The sequence below is a fragment of the Homo sapiens genome, chromosome 2 (genome assembly GCF_000001405.40).
Source record: "Homo sapiens chromosome 2, GRCh38.p14 Primary Assembly".
In the NCBI taxonomy this organism is placed as follows: domain Eukaryota; kingdom Metazoa; phylum Chordata; class Mammalia; order Primates; family Hominidae; genus Homo; species Homo sapiens.
Window position 1 is genome coordinate 54,536,862 of NC_000002.12, and position 14,580 is coordinate 54,551,441.

The 14,580-nt window shown below is 41.7% G+C and overlaps 1 protein-coding gene and 1 long non-coding RNA gene across 12 annotated transcripts in view; one reads left to right on the forward strand and one right to left on the reverse strand.

Moving 5' to 3' along the window:
- Positions 1-14,580, forward strand: part of SPTBN1 (spectrin beta, non-erythrocytic 1) — a 215,120-nt gene that overhangs the window by 80,535 nt on the left and 120,005 nt on the right. The gene's annotated exons all lie outside the window — the stretch shown is intronic.
- Positions 1-14,580, reverse strand: part of SPTBN1-AS1 (SPTBN1 antisense RNA 1) — a 39,389-nt gene that overhangs the window by 17,545 nt on the left and 7,264 nt on the right. The window contains exon 2 of the long non-coding RNA NR_185881.1: positions 7,048-7,114. This is a non-coding gene — a long non-coding RNA (SPTBN1 antisense RNA 1). The remainder of the gene's footprint in view (positions 1-7,047; positions 7,115-14,580) is intronic.

Sequence of the window (14,580 nt, forward strand, 5' to 3'; positions counted from 1 at the left end):
TGTCTCTGAAAAGTAAAAAAAATTAGCTGAACACAGTGGCACACACCTATAGTCCCAGCTACTTGTGAGGCTGAGGTGGGAGGATTGCTTCAGCCCAGGAGGCTGAGGCTACAGTGAGCCGTGATTGTGCCACTGCACTTCAGACTGGGTGACAGAACAAGACCCTGTCTTTAAAAAATAAATACATACATACAAGAGAGTTATTACAAAGTTTCATGCAAATGAGCCCTGAAAAATCTATGTGACAGTGGCTGCTGTGGACCTGGAGGCATTACTTATATTTCCGATGGGCCATGCGCCTCATTCATTGGAACCCTCTGCTTAGTATCTGCTCCTCCTTGACTCAGCTCACATGTGGCTTTGGTATACTGTCATTCCAACCCCAGCTCTTGCCTATCCTTTGCCTTTTGTCCTCATTGCTAAATGACTGAATATCCTTGTTTCCTGTAGTTCAAATGTCTGTAAGGTTGGGTACAGAGATGGGGTTTTGATTGACCCGGAAGATCCTTTTATACCAGATCATGGCCAACCGGATACTTAGAGTGGATACCTTCAGAAGAGGTGTCCCCAAACATTGGTGAGGAGCTGGAAGCCATATGTACAGAACACATCAGCTCCATCCATCCATAGCTCAGAGGCATCTGACTGGCAGTTGGAGGATACTGTTGGCATGCCTAATGCAGAAGAATTGTGGTGGGGTGGAGGAAGGCATTTTATAGTAGGACTTTTGGGGAAAGAGACTGGAGTATCTTGGATGATCAAGGGAAGGGCTAAATAGCCAATCTGAAGAAAGGGTGAAGGGCCCCTAGGACAACAGAAATTAAGGCTTTTCATCTCTCCATCTCTTGTTGTTAGTGACCTTGTGTAAGTGGGCTTCTGTCTCTGCCCCTTGTAGGTAGTCTTCTAGATGACAGGAAACATGGCTGCCATCTGCTCCTGGGCTTCACTCTCTACCACCTTTCATTTTTTCTGGTTCCAGTTGGAAATATTAGGGGTGTTTGGGAGAAAGGCTGTAATTTACCAGGCTTTACTCAAATGTCTAGAGCAGTGAACTGGAGTATGGAGTGTGGAGGGACATAAGAGCATGGCAGCTCTCCCTGGAACCACATGGAACTGTTTCCCCCAAAGGGGAAAGTTTGCTGGGAAGATGACAGTAAGTAACAATGAATGTTTACGACACATTTTCAGATAGACTGATGTTCTTGATTCAGAGATAAAGACATTTTATAAAATGCAAGGTGATGTTTACCATTGGTTGGTTACTTAAAAAAAAGGAGCCCAATAATGGACAGTTTCATTTAAGATTTTTGAATAAACAAAATTAACAAAGAGAAACAAACATTAGCGTTTCAGTCTTTAGAATATGCCTTTAACATGGTGTTTCATTTGCATTGAAGTTATTGTCTTGTGAATATGTGTGGTTGATAACTTGGAAACAGTCTATCCCAAGCTTGCATCTTTGGATTCTCAAGAACCAAGCATCACTCTTAGAGCATGACAGGTGCTTAGTACTAGAGTGCCATTCTAGATTCTTTAGCAGTACAGTGATATAAGTACTCTATTAACACTTTGTTCCTTACTCACATGTAACCTCTTTTGGGGAATAGACAATGTGTATAAAACAAGCAATGAATTAATATGAAAGTGTTGTGATACTTCCTGAAAACCTGAATCTTAGCCTTTTCATCCTCTGGTTGAGAAATACATCTGTTTTCTACAATTCTTATTTCTTCTGTATTTTTATTAGTTAATCTTCAAGGGAATTTGCAGAGCTCTGAATTTTGACCTCTTTGCTGCAAGCCTGTGAATTTTCAGAACTCTCAGATAATGACATCATTGACTGATGGGTACCTGTTATTGGGTGAGGCTGATAAGAATTTTGCCATTCAGGTTTAAATTTCTGCAGACGCCTTAGACTTTTTGAACATGTATGTGAAGTCGCCTTATTAGTCACAAGATTGTGTCTTTAGGCATCCTAAGAAACAGATGGACTGAAGTCGGAGATGCCGGGCCATTTGCGGGTTCTCAGCCCTTCCCTGTGTTACATGTTTACCTATTGGTTCACTCTAAGTTTGCAGGAAACCCAAGCTCTCCCCACTGCCTCCACTCTGAGCTCCAGCCCTGGCCAGGAGCCCTCTTGCCTGTATGGTTCACAGTAACCTTTCCTCTTCAAGAAACTTCCTTGGCCCTTGCTATTCTGTACCCCATGTTCTCTGTGTCTTATTAGTGTCATGTGTGTACTTAGGTGGGTGTATCCATAGTCTCCCTCCAGCTGATGACTAAATTCCTTGAAGACAGTGACAGTGGTAACATTTGTTTCCACATTCCCTACAAGCACCTCACCTAAGTCTGAATGCACCTCTGCTTTTTATTGAGTGCTTGTCAGACTGAAGAACTCATTCATGGTCAGAGCTATTAATTATCACTTTCATCTGGGGAAAATTTCCTCCTAATTTTTGTGATACCTATTAAAGATTTCTTTGTGTTTAATAATTTTACATTAAAATGCATTATAAAATCATGTATTACATTGTACATTACAGTGCATGCATTGCAAAAAAAAGTTCAAACACTGCAGAAGTGGACAATAAATGTTTCTCTTTCCCCAAAGCCTTTCCCATCTTTCTCCCTAAAGATAATTCCTTTTAAAAGTTTGATGTGTATCTTTTGAGATATTTTCTGTGTACTTTTTTGTTGAGACAGGGTCTTGCTCTGTCATCCAGACTGGAGTGCAGTGGTGCGATTTTGGCTCATTGCGACCTCCACCTTCCGTACTCAAGTCATCCTCCCACCTCAGCCTCATAAGTAGCTGGGACAACAGGCACACACCACCATGCCCAGCTAATTTTTATATTTGTTTGGTGGAGACGAATTTTGGCCATGTTGTCCAGGCTGGTCTTGAACTCCTGGGCTCAAGAAATCAGCCCACGTTGGCTTCCCAGAGTGCTGAGATAATAGGTGTGAGCCACTGTGCGTGGACTCTGTGTACATTATTGAAAACATTATGAGCTGAATGTTTGTTCCTCCCACTCAAACTCATATGGTGAAATCTTAACCCACACCATGAGGGTGTTAGGAGGTGAGGTCTTTGGCGGGTAATTAGGTCATGAAAGTGGAGCCCTCGTGAATGGGATTCATGTCCGTATAAAGTAGACATGGGAAATGATCTTTCTCCCTACCATGTGAGAATCTGAGAGGATGGCTGTCTGTAAACCAGGAAGAGGTCCTTCACCAAGAACCCAACCATGCTGGCACCCTGACTTCCAGCCTCCAGAACTGTGAGAGAGAAATGGTTGTTGGTTAATCTCCCAGTCTGTGGTATTCTGTTTTAGCAGTCTGAACTAAGATGAATTTTTCTTTTCTAGTAATAAACAGAAGTAAGACCAGCTGATTGATAGAATCCTGGAGTTTAATCTTTCTCCTACCAGAATATTTGTCTTAGATTTTCATTCTGGCAGTGTCTGTATGATGTTAACATGCTGCAATGTTAACTTGGTAGAGATGGGTTTGGGAAATTTAAGGCATTGTTTGCTAGCTTAGTAGAAGCCATTACACAGTGACTCACACGTCCTTTACTGTGGATTTGGCCCCTGCCTTCTTTTGTGCTCCAGGTATCTCACCCTAAGGTTTTTACCCTTTTTGGTTAAAAGAACTAAAGCTAAAGATTTCTTTAGTTTTCTCTTCCTTCCTTAGGTCACTGGGATGTTTCTGGAGCTCTTCCCCCTTTGCCTCTTTACCTTCCATGTTCCTTGGATATCAGGGGCACTCAGTAGAGGGCATCTCTAAAGAAACTATCTCCCCAAGGTTGGCCTGCAGTTTGCCTGTGTTATTCTCTGTCATCATTAGCCTGGAGTACATGTTAGCAGTTGAAGTTTGAGAATTTCATGGTTAATTTTTCCAAACGTTGGCCACAGTTTTCCTGGAGAACTGTATTGTGACAAGGACATACAGAGTATTAGGTGACTATAGTGACCAAGCAAGATAGGGAATGGAATGTTAAAATTGTAGTAGTTTATACGTAGATTACCTCTATTTTGCTGCAACAGCCAAAGGCCATTCATCTGCCCCTCACTGTAGAGCACAAGTGGAGGAGAATGTTGTCGTCGTTTTAACTGATGTGTAATTTAAGCCTTTTTTCCTGTGGTTAATAACAACAAAAACAATCTAGTAACTTCCTAAATCCATGCCACTAGCAGCATGTTATTTAGCCAGTGTGGCTCTCCAGTTAGCTTTTACCTTTTTCTCTAGCCAGGGACATGTATTTGACAGTTCCATGGATTGCCAGTCCCAAAGCTGTTTTATATGCCGATTTTGGAGAAGTAAGCCTACAGACCAAATCTATTAGCCCCATTATATGTCTCTACTATGAACATACACACTTTTATGCCTAGAACTGCAGAGGATTTGTGTGTGCTTCCAGCATTTGCCCTGGGCCCCTATACACACTGTCCATGGAATTATACTCATTGTCTCCAAGCATTTGAAGGAAGGCCAGTGTTAGTATGGATGCTTGTAAATAATGTAGAGGCATTCAAGACTACCTTGAGAAATACAGGATGGAGAAGAGGCGAGGCTGGAGGATGCACTTGATACTAATGTGAAATCTAAAACCCCTCACACTGAATTAACAGTTGTTCCCGTGCAGCTTTGTTTGTGCATTCATTTAATCAGTCGTAATCTTCAGGCATGCCCACATGTGGATTTTCTTTTTAACTCCCTCACATTCAGGGAGCCATTTTAATTGACATACGCAACACAATTATTGTCCGAACTGAATTTTATGATGGGGGATGATGTTTCTATGTTTTAAAAAACTCAATGGATGACTTCAGAGTACTCATGGAGATGTAACCTATAACTGACTTGTGATTTTGAAAGAAATAATTTTCAACCATTTCAGTAAGGAATATATTTTATATGGCAATATAGTACACATAAAGGTATGTATATTTGAGAATATACATACACATAAATGTATGTTTATGGGTGTATTTGTGTGTATCCACACACATTTAAATTTCACAAAGTAGTGTTTACGTGTACCACATGAGATGCTCTGATACTTTCTATTCTATTCCATTTTTTAAAATGCTAGCATTGATCTATTAATTCAATTTTATTACATGGTGTTGGAATATCCTGTGGTAGTTAGGTACATTTCAAAGTACACCTAAGTGATCTATTTTTAAGCTTTATTAGAATGAGTGCTTATTGATTTTGTTTCATTCATTTATTAGTGAATGAATGAGTAAAATATTTGAGTACTTAACTATGTGCCAGGCACTGTGATCGGTGGTAGAAACACAGTTAGGTGATTAAGTGAAAACAAGTCTGTGGTCAGCAGAAAAGATTTTCAGTTTTCACAGAGGAGAGTTGTTGTCAGTAGATGAAAGGGATTTCAGGCCAAGCAAGCAGTGCCATGAATGGCCTGAACATGCATGGCTATGTCGAGATGCCATGAGAAGAGCTGCAGAAGGAGCTCAAGGCAGGACTATAGGAGTGAACGAGGAGTGCCGTGGTGCCAAAGAGTTTAGCCTTTATCCTGTAGGCCAGTGGTTTCCAGAATCTATCTCAGGAGAATTTTTATTTTCAAATAGAAAACTGTTAATTAATCTCAATATGTAAAACTACCAACTTGGAGTTACGCTAGAAGCAGCAGAGGACCCTCCCCTAGATTTCCATCCCCAGGGGGCTCAAGGCCATTGTGACTGCCCCTGAGAACCACTGATGTGGAATTTGTCTCAGAAGGATCCCTCTGGGGACACTGTGAAGGAAGGCACAGGGAGGAACGCCATTTTAGGGGACTGTTGTGTTCTTCCAGGGAAGAAACAAGGCCCTGAAGCTGAGATTGTGGCTGAGGGCTTGAGAAAGCAGGGCCTTTTCAACTGTTGAATTAGACTTCCTAGGACATGCTCTCCAAGGGGATGGGAAAGGGAAGAGGAAGGAAGAGGAATTTGGTTTGGGTTCTGTGAAGCCTCTGGATGTTGGATGCTTGGGATAGATGAGGGTCGTGAGGTATTTTGGTCACAAATCTGCAAGGTTTCCCCTTTCTATCGTGTGGCCTCTAGTTTTTAGGATTATGTTTTTCTTAGCTCATATTTGTCTGTATTCTGTCCAGCCTTTGGAAACTGTATGGGCCCTGAGGCTCTCTCAGTCTGCCTGTCTGAATACACTTTGGAGGTCCTCCCACTGCTGGAGCACCTGAATGTTCCTGGGTTTGGATTCAGCTATCCAGGACTGTCCATCTCGGGGCTGATGCTGAGGAAGGAAGGATGGCTTCAGAGGCCTGGAGTCCCACATGAGGTCCCTGCTCTGTCGCCTACTAGCTATGCGATGGTGGGCAAGTGACTCCTTTAGGATGAGGATAATATCCACCTTATGGGAATGTTGCAGGAACTTAAAATAATGTGGAAGATTCCTAGCTCGGTGTCTGCACACAGTGGGCATGCATGTGAAGTGTTAATTATAACATTTCATTATGGAAATAAATCTTTTGAAGGGAGGGCTTCTATTTCCTCCCTGCAAAAAGGCCTTCCATATTGAGAAATATTGCATTCATGCAAGGGAAGATGAGGAGAAGCCAAGGAGGAGGCAGGAACATTCAAAAGGCACATGTTCTGATGGCCTGACGACACTGGGGACCTGTGGCTTTGTTTGCTGTGAAGTTTAGAGGGCATTTGTGACCCTCAGTCCTTCTCCTGGGAAGCAGGAAAAGCACCAAAAAATACTTGTTTTTTTTTTAATTAAAAAAATTAATATGGTCTTTGCATTTGTATCTTCTCTCACTGTACTTTCCTGTTTCGGATTTGCACTCAATGCACATTAAAATGATCCTGCATAATCCTAAACATTTATTGAGAGAATGATTTAATGGAAAAATACAATAAAAATATTTTAAACTTTTGATAAATTGGTCCCCCCTCCCACCCCAAAAAAAATGACTGAGGTTGGAGGAAGAGACAGATGGGAGTGGGAGATGCATGTTCTTTGGAGGGAGAGAGACATGGTCAGTGTAGAACAATCCAAGTCAGACAGGCTGGCTCTTACCGGAAGAGGGTTGGTCCTTCATGGGGGTTATTTAGCTTTAGTGCTCTGTTCCTCTTTGTTGAGACAGCTGTAGTTAGGTATAAGGGGATAATAAAGAAGAAATATTACTAAATTCCCGGGAGGATTATTTATAATACTTAAAATGTGTGTATCACTTTCATCTTGGAGAACATTATAGAACATTACTATAATACTAATAGAAGTCTTTGGAAAGCATTATATCCCGTGTTACAGATTTCAGTCTGAGATTTTCTGAATCAGGTTGTTGTTTACCCCAGCTTGCTCTAGTGGTAATATAAATCAGAGGCTTCTGGGTTCCAGGCAGTAATTGAAAGCTTCTGATGCCTATCTTTGACCTGCCTTTTCCAACCTTCTTGGAAATTGCCTTCCTTCACATAAGTATTTGTAGGGCTCTGAATACTCTTTAATTAATGGGGGGAAAATCTTCTACCTCTCCCTACAATTACTCCATATTAGCAAATTATGAGTAAGACTTTGAGATACCTCAGGTATCTCATTTGTGATGTCAGAGTGGTTATTGAACTTACTAAACCTTTCCCAGAAGAGCCAGACCTTGCCTAAACTTAACGAAAAGGTTTAGAGTTGAGAATCAGATACTTTTACAGGGTCATTTTTGTCTGTTTGTTTCTGACTGTCAAGCACAAGAGATACACATGACTAATTTAAAACAGGAGGCCTAAGAGACCTATTAAAAAATGTCAAACATTTATTTGTACTAAATACTACATCAAAAAGATATGGCAATATGAATAAGATATAGAGATATAAAATATATCCTAGATAGGATTTTTGGTAGGCTATACAAACTTGAACAAAGTTTTAAAAAGGAGTAAACTTTTATTTTTTTATTTTTATTTTTTATTATACTTTAAGTTCTAGGGTACATGTGTACAACATGCAGGTTTGTTACATAGGTATACATGTGCCATGTTGGTTTGCTGCACCCATCAACTCATCATTTACATTAGATATTTCTCCTAATACTATCCCTCCACCAGCCCCCCACTCCCCAGTAGGCCCCAGGGTGTGATGTTCCCCGCCCTGTGTGCATGTGTTCTCATTGTTCAACTCCCACCTATGAGTAAGAACAAGCGGTGTTTGGTTTTCTGTCCTTGTGATAGTTTGCTTAGAATGATGGTTTCCAGCTTCATCCATGTTCCTGCAAAGGACATGAACTCATCCTTTTTTATGGCTGCATAGTATTCCATTGTGTATATGTGCCACATTTTCTTTATCCAATGTATCATTAATGGGCATTTGGGTTGGTTCCAAGTCTTTGCTATTGTGAACAGTGACACAATAAACATACGTGTGCATGTGTCTTTATAGTAGAATGATGTATAATCCTTTGAGTATATACCCAGTATACTGTTGGTGGGAGTGTAAATTAGTTCAACCATTGTGGAAGACAGTGTGGCAATTCCTCAAGGATCTAGAACTAGAAATACCATTTGACCCAGCAATCCCATTACTGGGTATATATAAAACGGAGTAAACTTTCATTTAAGGAAGGATGAAGTTAAATAAGCAAAGGTACCCAGAGACCCCACTAAGTGATAGATACTAGCTGAATGCTTTATTTAACAAGCCTACTATTCTATTGCTAACCTGCCATTAGAAAAAGCTGGCAGATGGACATTAAAATCCAGCAAAACTATTTTTAGGTAACAAAGCTTTTTGATGGCATATACAAAAATGGATTCAGATGGTGGTGGGTGGGGGGCATTGTCAGTACTGTTACTGCAATCAGGAGCTCTGGGAGTCCACTGGACTTCTCTAACTTGACTTTAGAGAACTCCATCTAGCCTCTCTGTCTCAGTGTCCTTATCTGAAAAACAAGGGGGTGGGCTGGATGGATTCTGAGGGCCCTCAGACCTCTAAGATTGTGTATATGCTCTTAGGGAGTTAGCATGCTAACGGGCTGTTGCTACCAAGGTAAGTTTTGGCATTTTTTTCCTGGTGGTTTCTGTGTACACAGTGAGACACAGAGTGTGTATTGGTACAGGGATGATAGCAACCTTTGTCCTTCTACAGGAAATAATGCCCTGTGACTCTGACTCAAGACCTAGTCTCTTGTTAATTTTTGTTAATGTTTTATGCTTGATGAGTCAGAAATGCAGGCTCTTGTAGAGTGTTATTAACAAGAACTAGTGTAACTTTGATTATAATCACTACAAATTACAGACCTCTTTCCTGTGTAATGATTTTTGCCATTTGCCCTTCCGTGATCTCTAATAGGCCAACTACAAGGACAATTTTTTGATCAGTAAGAACCTTGGTCTGTTGCTTCATAAGCCCTTATTATGGCAAAATTATTCGTAACAGCAAACTATGTATGTACCCACATTGACAGAATATCAGTGTTCTTTAGCTGGCTGGGCAAAGTCTAAGTGTTTCAGGATAGTTGATGATGGGGGTATCACAAAAACTTCAGAGTAAGAAAAACTTGTCTGATATCTGTTAAAGTGATCTGTATACATGTAGGCATTCTCCTGTATATGTGCATACACACACTCCTAAGTTGTGTAAATGTGTACCTGCCTGCTTGAGTATGATGCATTGCTACTATTTCTAAACTACCAATTTATTTCCCCTGTGTTTTGAGGACTCAATCTCAAAGATGCTGACTGAAAAATAAAGTTTTTGAACAATTTCATGAAGGTTGGGTTGTCGAGATCATGAGTTCTGACTCTAATGACAACTCTGTGGGAAATGGATAAACTCTGATAAACTCTATCGCACTGCACACAAATGTGAGGCTGGAAGGCAGTACGTAATTTATGAGGCCTTTTGTTGTAAAAATGAGAGTTGGCAGGATTCCGAGTAAATATCTTTTTTCCTAAGGGTGGAAGATAGGACTTGGAGAGATCAATGTGTTGGTTGACAGCATTTGAGAATGTTTGATTTGAGCTTCAGCATCATAGGTGGGGAACATGTGGCTTTATAGATCTGCTGTTTCTTCCCCTGCCCAGTGGTGCATTCCTTGTCTTTACTGAAGTATGTTTTTAAAATTCATTTTTAATGGTGGTAAAAAAAAAAAAAAAACCACATAACATAAGGTTTACCATGTTAACCATTTTTAAATGTAACTTCAGTAGAGTTAACTATGTTCATATTGTTGTGCAGTCAGATCTCTAGACCCTTTTCATTTTGAAAAACTGAAACTCTACACCCATTAAACAATAACTCACCACGTTCCCCTTCCCCCAGCTCCTGGCAACCACCATTCTACTTTCTCTTTCCATGAGTTTAACTACTCAACATACTGCATGTAAGTGGAATCATGTAATATTTGTTTTTTTTCTAACTGGCTTATTTCATTTAACATGATGTCCTCAAGCTTCATCCATGTTATAGCATATGACAGAATTTTCTTCTTTTTAAGTAATATTCAATTATATGTATATGCCACATTTTGTTTATCCATTCATCCATTGATGGACATTAGAGTTTTCACCTCTTGCTATTGCGAATGATACTGCAATGAACATAGGAATGCAAGTGTCTCTTTGAGATCCTGCTTTCAGTTCTTTTGGATATATATCCAGAAGGGGAATGGCTGGACCATATGGTAGTTATATTTTTAATTTTTTGCAGAACCTCCATACTATTTCCCACAGCAGCTGCACCATTTACATTCCTACCAACAGCGTACAAGGGTTCCAATTTCTCCATATCCTTTACTGAAGCTTTTAGAATGTTATTCAAAATACGATATAATGGAAAAAAGGCACCAACGTGGTCTCAAATTGTGTTTTTCTTGGTAGATGGTAATTAAAAGGGTAATGGTGATTAAGGTATCGGTGATAAAAATAGTAATGAAAAGAGGTGAGTGGAGAGGTAGTTATAGGTGAGCTTGGCAGGTATTAGAAAAGAGCTTAGTCTTTCTCTTCTTTCTCTTCATTCTTCACCTGTCATTAAAATTCTAGTTGTGGCCAGGCGTGGTGGCTCACACCTGTAATCCCAGCATTTGGGAGGCCAAGGCGGGCAGATCACGAGGTCAGGAGATCGAGACCATCCTGGCTAACACGGTGAAACCCCGTCTCTACTAAAAATACAAAAAATTAGCCAGGCGTGGTGGCGGGTGCCTATAGTTCCAGCTACTTGGGAGGCTGAGGCAGGAGAATGGCATGAACCCAGGAGGTGGAGCTTGCAGTGAGCCAAGATCATGCCACTGCACTCCAGCCAGGGCAACAGAGCGAGGCTCCATCTCAGAATAAATAAAATAATTCTGGTTGTGATGAATAAATCCATTTGTCAGGTATTTTTTTAAGTGCCTCCTGAGTAGGCTATTCCTCAGGACACCATAAGAATAATAAAGGAAAGATCAATGTATAAAACTGAGAAAAAGGATTTTTAAACAACAAAGTTTGCTGAGGCCAACTTTGTGTATGGTTCTACACTGGGCTGGAAAGATGACATGGAAGCTGTGCTTGTACCGCATCCTGGGCTGTCATTCTCTCTGAGCTGGTGCAAGTTGGACATCAGAGAACATAAACAGATATCACTCATCTAGCACTCAGGACAGGCCTTTTGGCTCCACCTTTGTGGTGGATGCTGGAAGGCAGTGGGGAAAGGACATTAAGGTGAGTTTTCCCTGATTCCAAGCCCTGGGCCCACTTCATTGACTGGCATGAGAAATGCACGCTACTTCCTTTGTGCTTAGCTTCCTCTTCCTTCAGGTTTGCTCTAGAAATGGCAGCAGGAATTCAGAAGGCCTGCTTTCTAATCTCCAGCATGCCGGTAGCTTGCTTTGTAACTCTGGGCACACGGCTCTGTGCCTCATTTCTCATTTTTCTTACTATAAATGAGATGGGTTGGCTTAGATAGAGGAATTTTTAAAAGGAACTTCTGACACCTGTTAGGACTTTCAGCTATCATCTTCTGACTGTGAAAGATTAAGGTATGCATGAGGGGGTGTTACCTAGGCTGGCATAGGCTCTCTGAGTCACCATATGGTGCCACCTCCCTCACAGAGTCCTTGTTTTCATCAGTGTTCAGCTTTCAAAAATGGCTAAATCATTTTTAACTGTTCCTTAAAGATACTGGGCTGGGGGTATAGGGTGAAGGTTCTGTAAGACTTGCATTTGGCTGGGCACGGTGGCTCACGCCTGTAATCCCAGCACTTTGGGAGGCCAAGAAGGGTAGATCACTTGAGGTCAGAAGCCTGGCCAATGTGGTGAAACCCCATCTGTACTAAAAGTACCAAAATTAGCTGGTGTGGTGGTGCGCGCCTGTAATCCCAGCTACTCGGAAAGCTGAGGCAAGAGAATCGCTTGAACCCTGGAAGCAGAGGTTGCAGTGAGCCGAGATTGTGCCATTGCACTCCAGCCTGGGCAATAAGAGTGAAACTCTGTCTCAAAAAAAAAAAAAAAAAAAAGACTTGTATCTGTCCTAAAACAGTTTATAATATTTTCCAAGAGCATTATGTCCTCCATGCTGCAGCATATGACAGGATTTCCTTGCTTTTAAGTAAGATTCTGTTGTATGTATATACCAATTTTCAGAGATTTTCTATTTCGGATCCTTTGGTTTTAGGGAAAACATTGGAAAAGCCAAGTGAATGGCTCATGGTCACATAGCCAGTCAGTGTTAAAAGCTGAGAATGGAGTGTGCCCTTCACTTCTCTTGAGTCTGTGTCTGGTGTACTTTCCATTATTTTAATTAAGCAGATAAGACTGGTACACAAGAAGAGATAAGCAATGCTCTCATAGAGTGTATGATATGTGCTGGACGACGGAGGCTGACAGTGCTGGTGTAGAGTTTCTAAGAAGGAGCCATCATCCCAGCTGGGTAATCTGGGAAGCCTTCCTAGAGAAGGGAAGGCTTTGAGCTGGGCTTGAAGGATGAATGGACTTGGGACTAAAAGGTGAGGGGAGGGCCAAGAGCAGAGGCATGGAAAGCCCAAGACAGGTGGGGCACTGATCAGTTTGGGTGTAGCAGAGGGGACAGTTAGGAGGAAGAGATGGGGACAGACATTTATTGAGGATCTGTCTTGTGTTGGGCACAGTATCTGGTCTTTGCCCATGCCATCTCAGTAGCCTGAGCATGGGAATGCCATCCTGGTCATGCACTTGTTTGAGGACATCACTTTCTCCCTACCCCTTGGGACTTATCTTCCTTACAGTAAAAGTCAGGTGTACTTTGATCCTGCCAGAAATTACCTGGTTTAAAATGGGGAGATAAAGCAAAGAGGGAAGGGTGTTTTATGGTGTCTGTAAAGAAGGTCTCAGAGGTAGCTATAGTATTTATTTTACAGTAATCTGGAGCCTGCCTCCTACTTACGAGGCAGCTGGCAGGCCTTGGCGCTCCTGAGTGACTGGGCTGTCCATGAATTATTCAGGGGCTGTGCCCAGCGAGTGGCTGCCTAGCAAAGTCCTATGGCAGGGAGGCTGTGCTATCTCAGTGAGAGATCAGCAGAAGCTCAGGTGCTGAGGAGGAAGAAATGACTGCACCCTTAAAATATTTCACATTTTAACACACCAGGGCTGCACATGTTGTTCCATATCTCTGCAACTGGGTAATCGGTACCTGTTTTTCAAAGAGCAAGAAACACACCCCACACCCCCAACTATATTACCTACACTCTCATGTTAGAATGGCACATGTCAGCAGGGATTTGGTTAGAAGCAACATTAAAATTGCATAGATAAGACCGAATAGGAACAGAGAGTGTTTGTGTGGAAGAAATCCTGCTCTGATATTTTCTCAGCCAAGTAGAGAAATGTAGTTGTTGCTTAATTTAGAATGGTACTTACTGTAACTATCAATAGCTGTTACTGTCACTAACCTGTCATTTGTTACATATTACACCCTTGTGTTTGTGTATGCATGTGTCCTAGTGTGTCTGATTTCCTCAGCTAGGTTGAAAGTCCCTGCAGAGAAGAAATCAGTTCTCACCATGTCATGGGTCCCTCCAATAGCCTATGCCCATGGATGGGGCTGAGAACGTGTCAGATGAGTTGACTTGGGCTCTCTGTAGGGGAGGAGTATGTCTTGACGATGAGATTTGCATGTCCCTCACCTTTCTCTTTTCTCCTACCCTCTCCAAGTGCCTGCCCTACCTGCCCTTTTCACATTTTCTTTTCACAGCTCCTGGAAAAGGTAATATGGGTGTGAATATACTTGAGGGCAGGACCCAGAGGCCTATTTTCACAAAGAATAGATTTGTATTTATTCCTTACCCATTTCTTTCTCATGAGCTCTGCTACCCAGGGAACAGTATCTTCTCACTGCCCCATATCACTCTTGTAAAACTCTGGCCTGGATGGCTCTGAACACCTGTGTGTGTCAGCTGTTCCCCTCCATGTTGGAGGTGAAAAGCAGAACCAAGAACTCTGGGCAAGAGCAGGCCTGGCCTCAACTGCATTCCTCAGATGTTCTTTTCCTTTTAACCACTCTACCTGCAACAGAGGAGCCCAGCCCTGGCTCTGGCTGCTGTTACATTCACAGGCATAGCACCACCTGTTTGGCAAAGCCAGGGCCTCTGGACCGGGGCATTCTTTTGTCTGT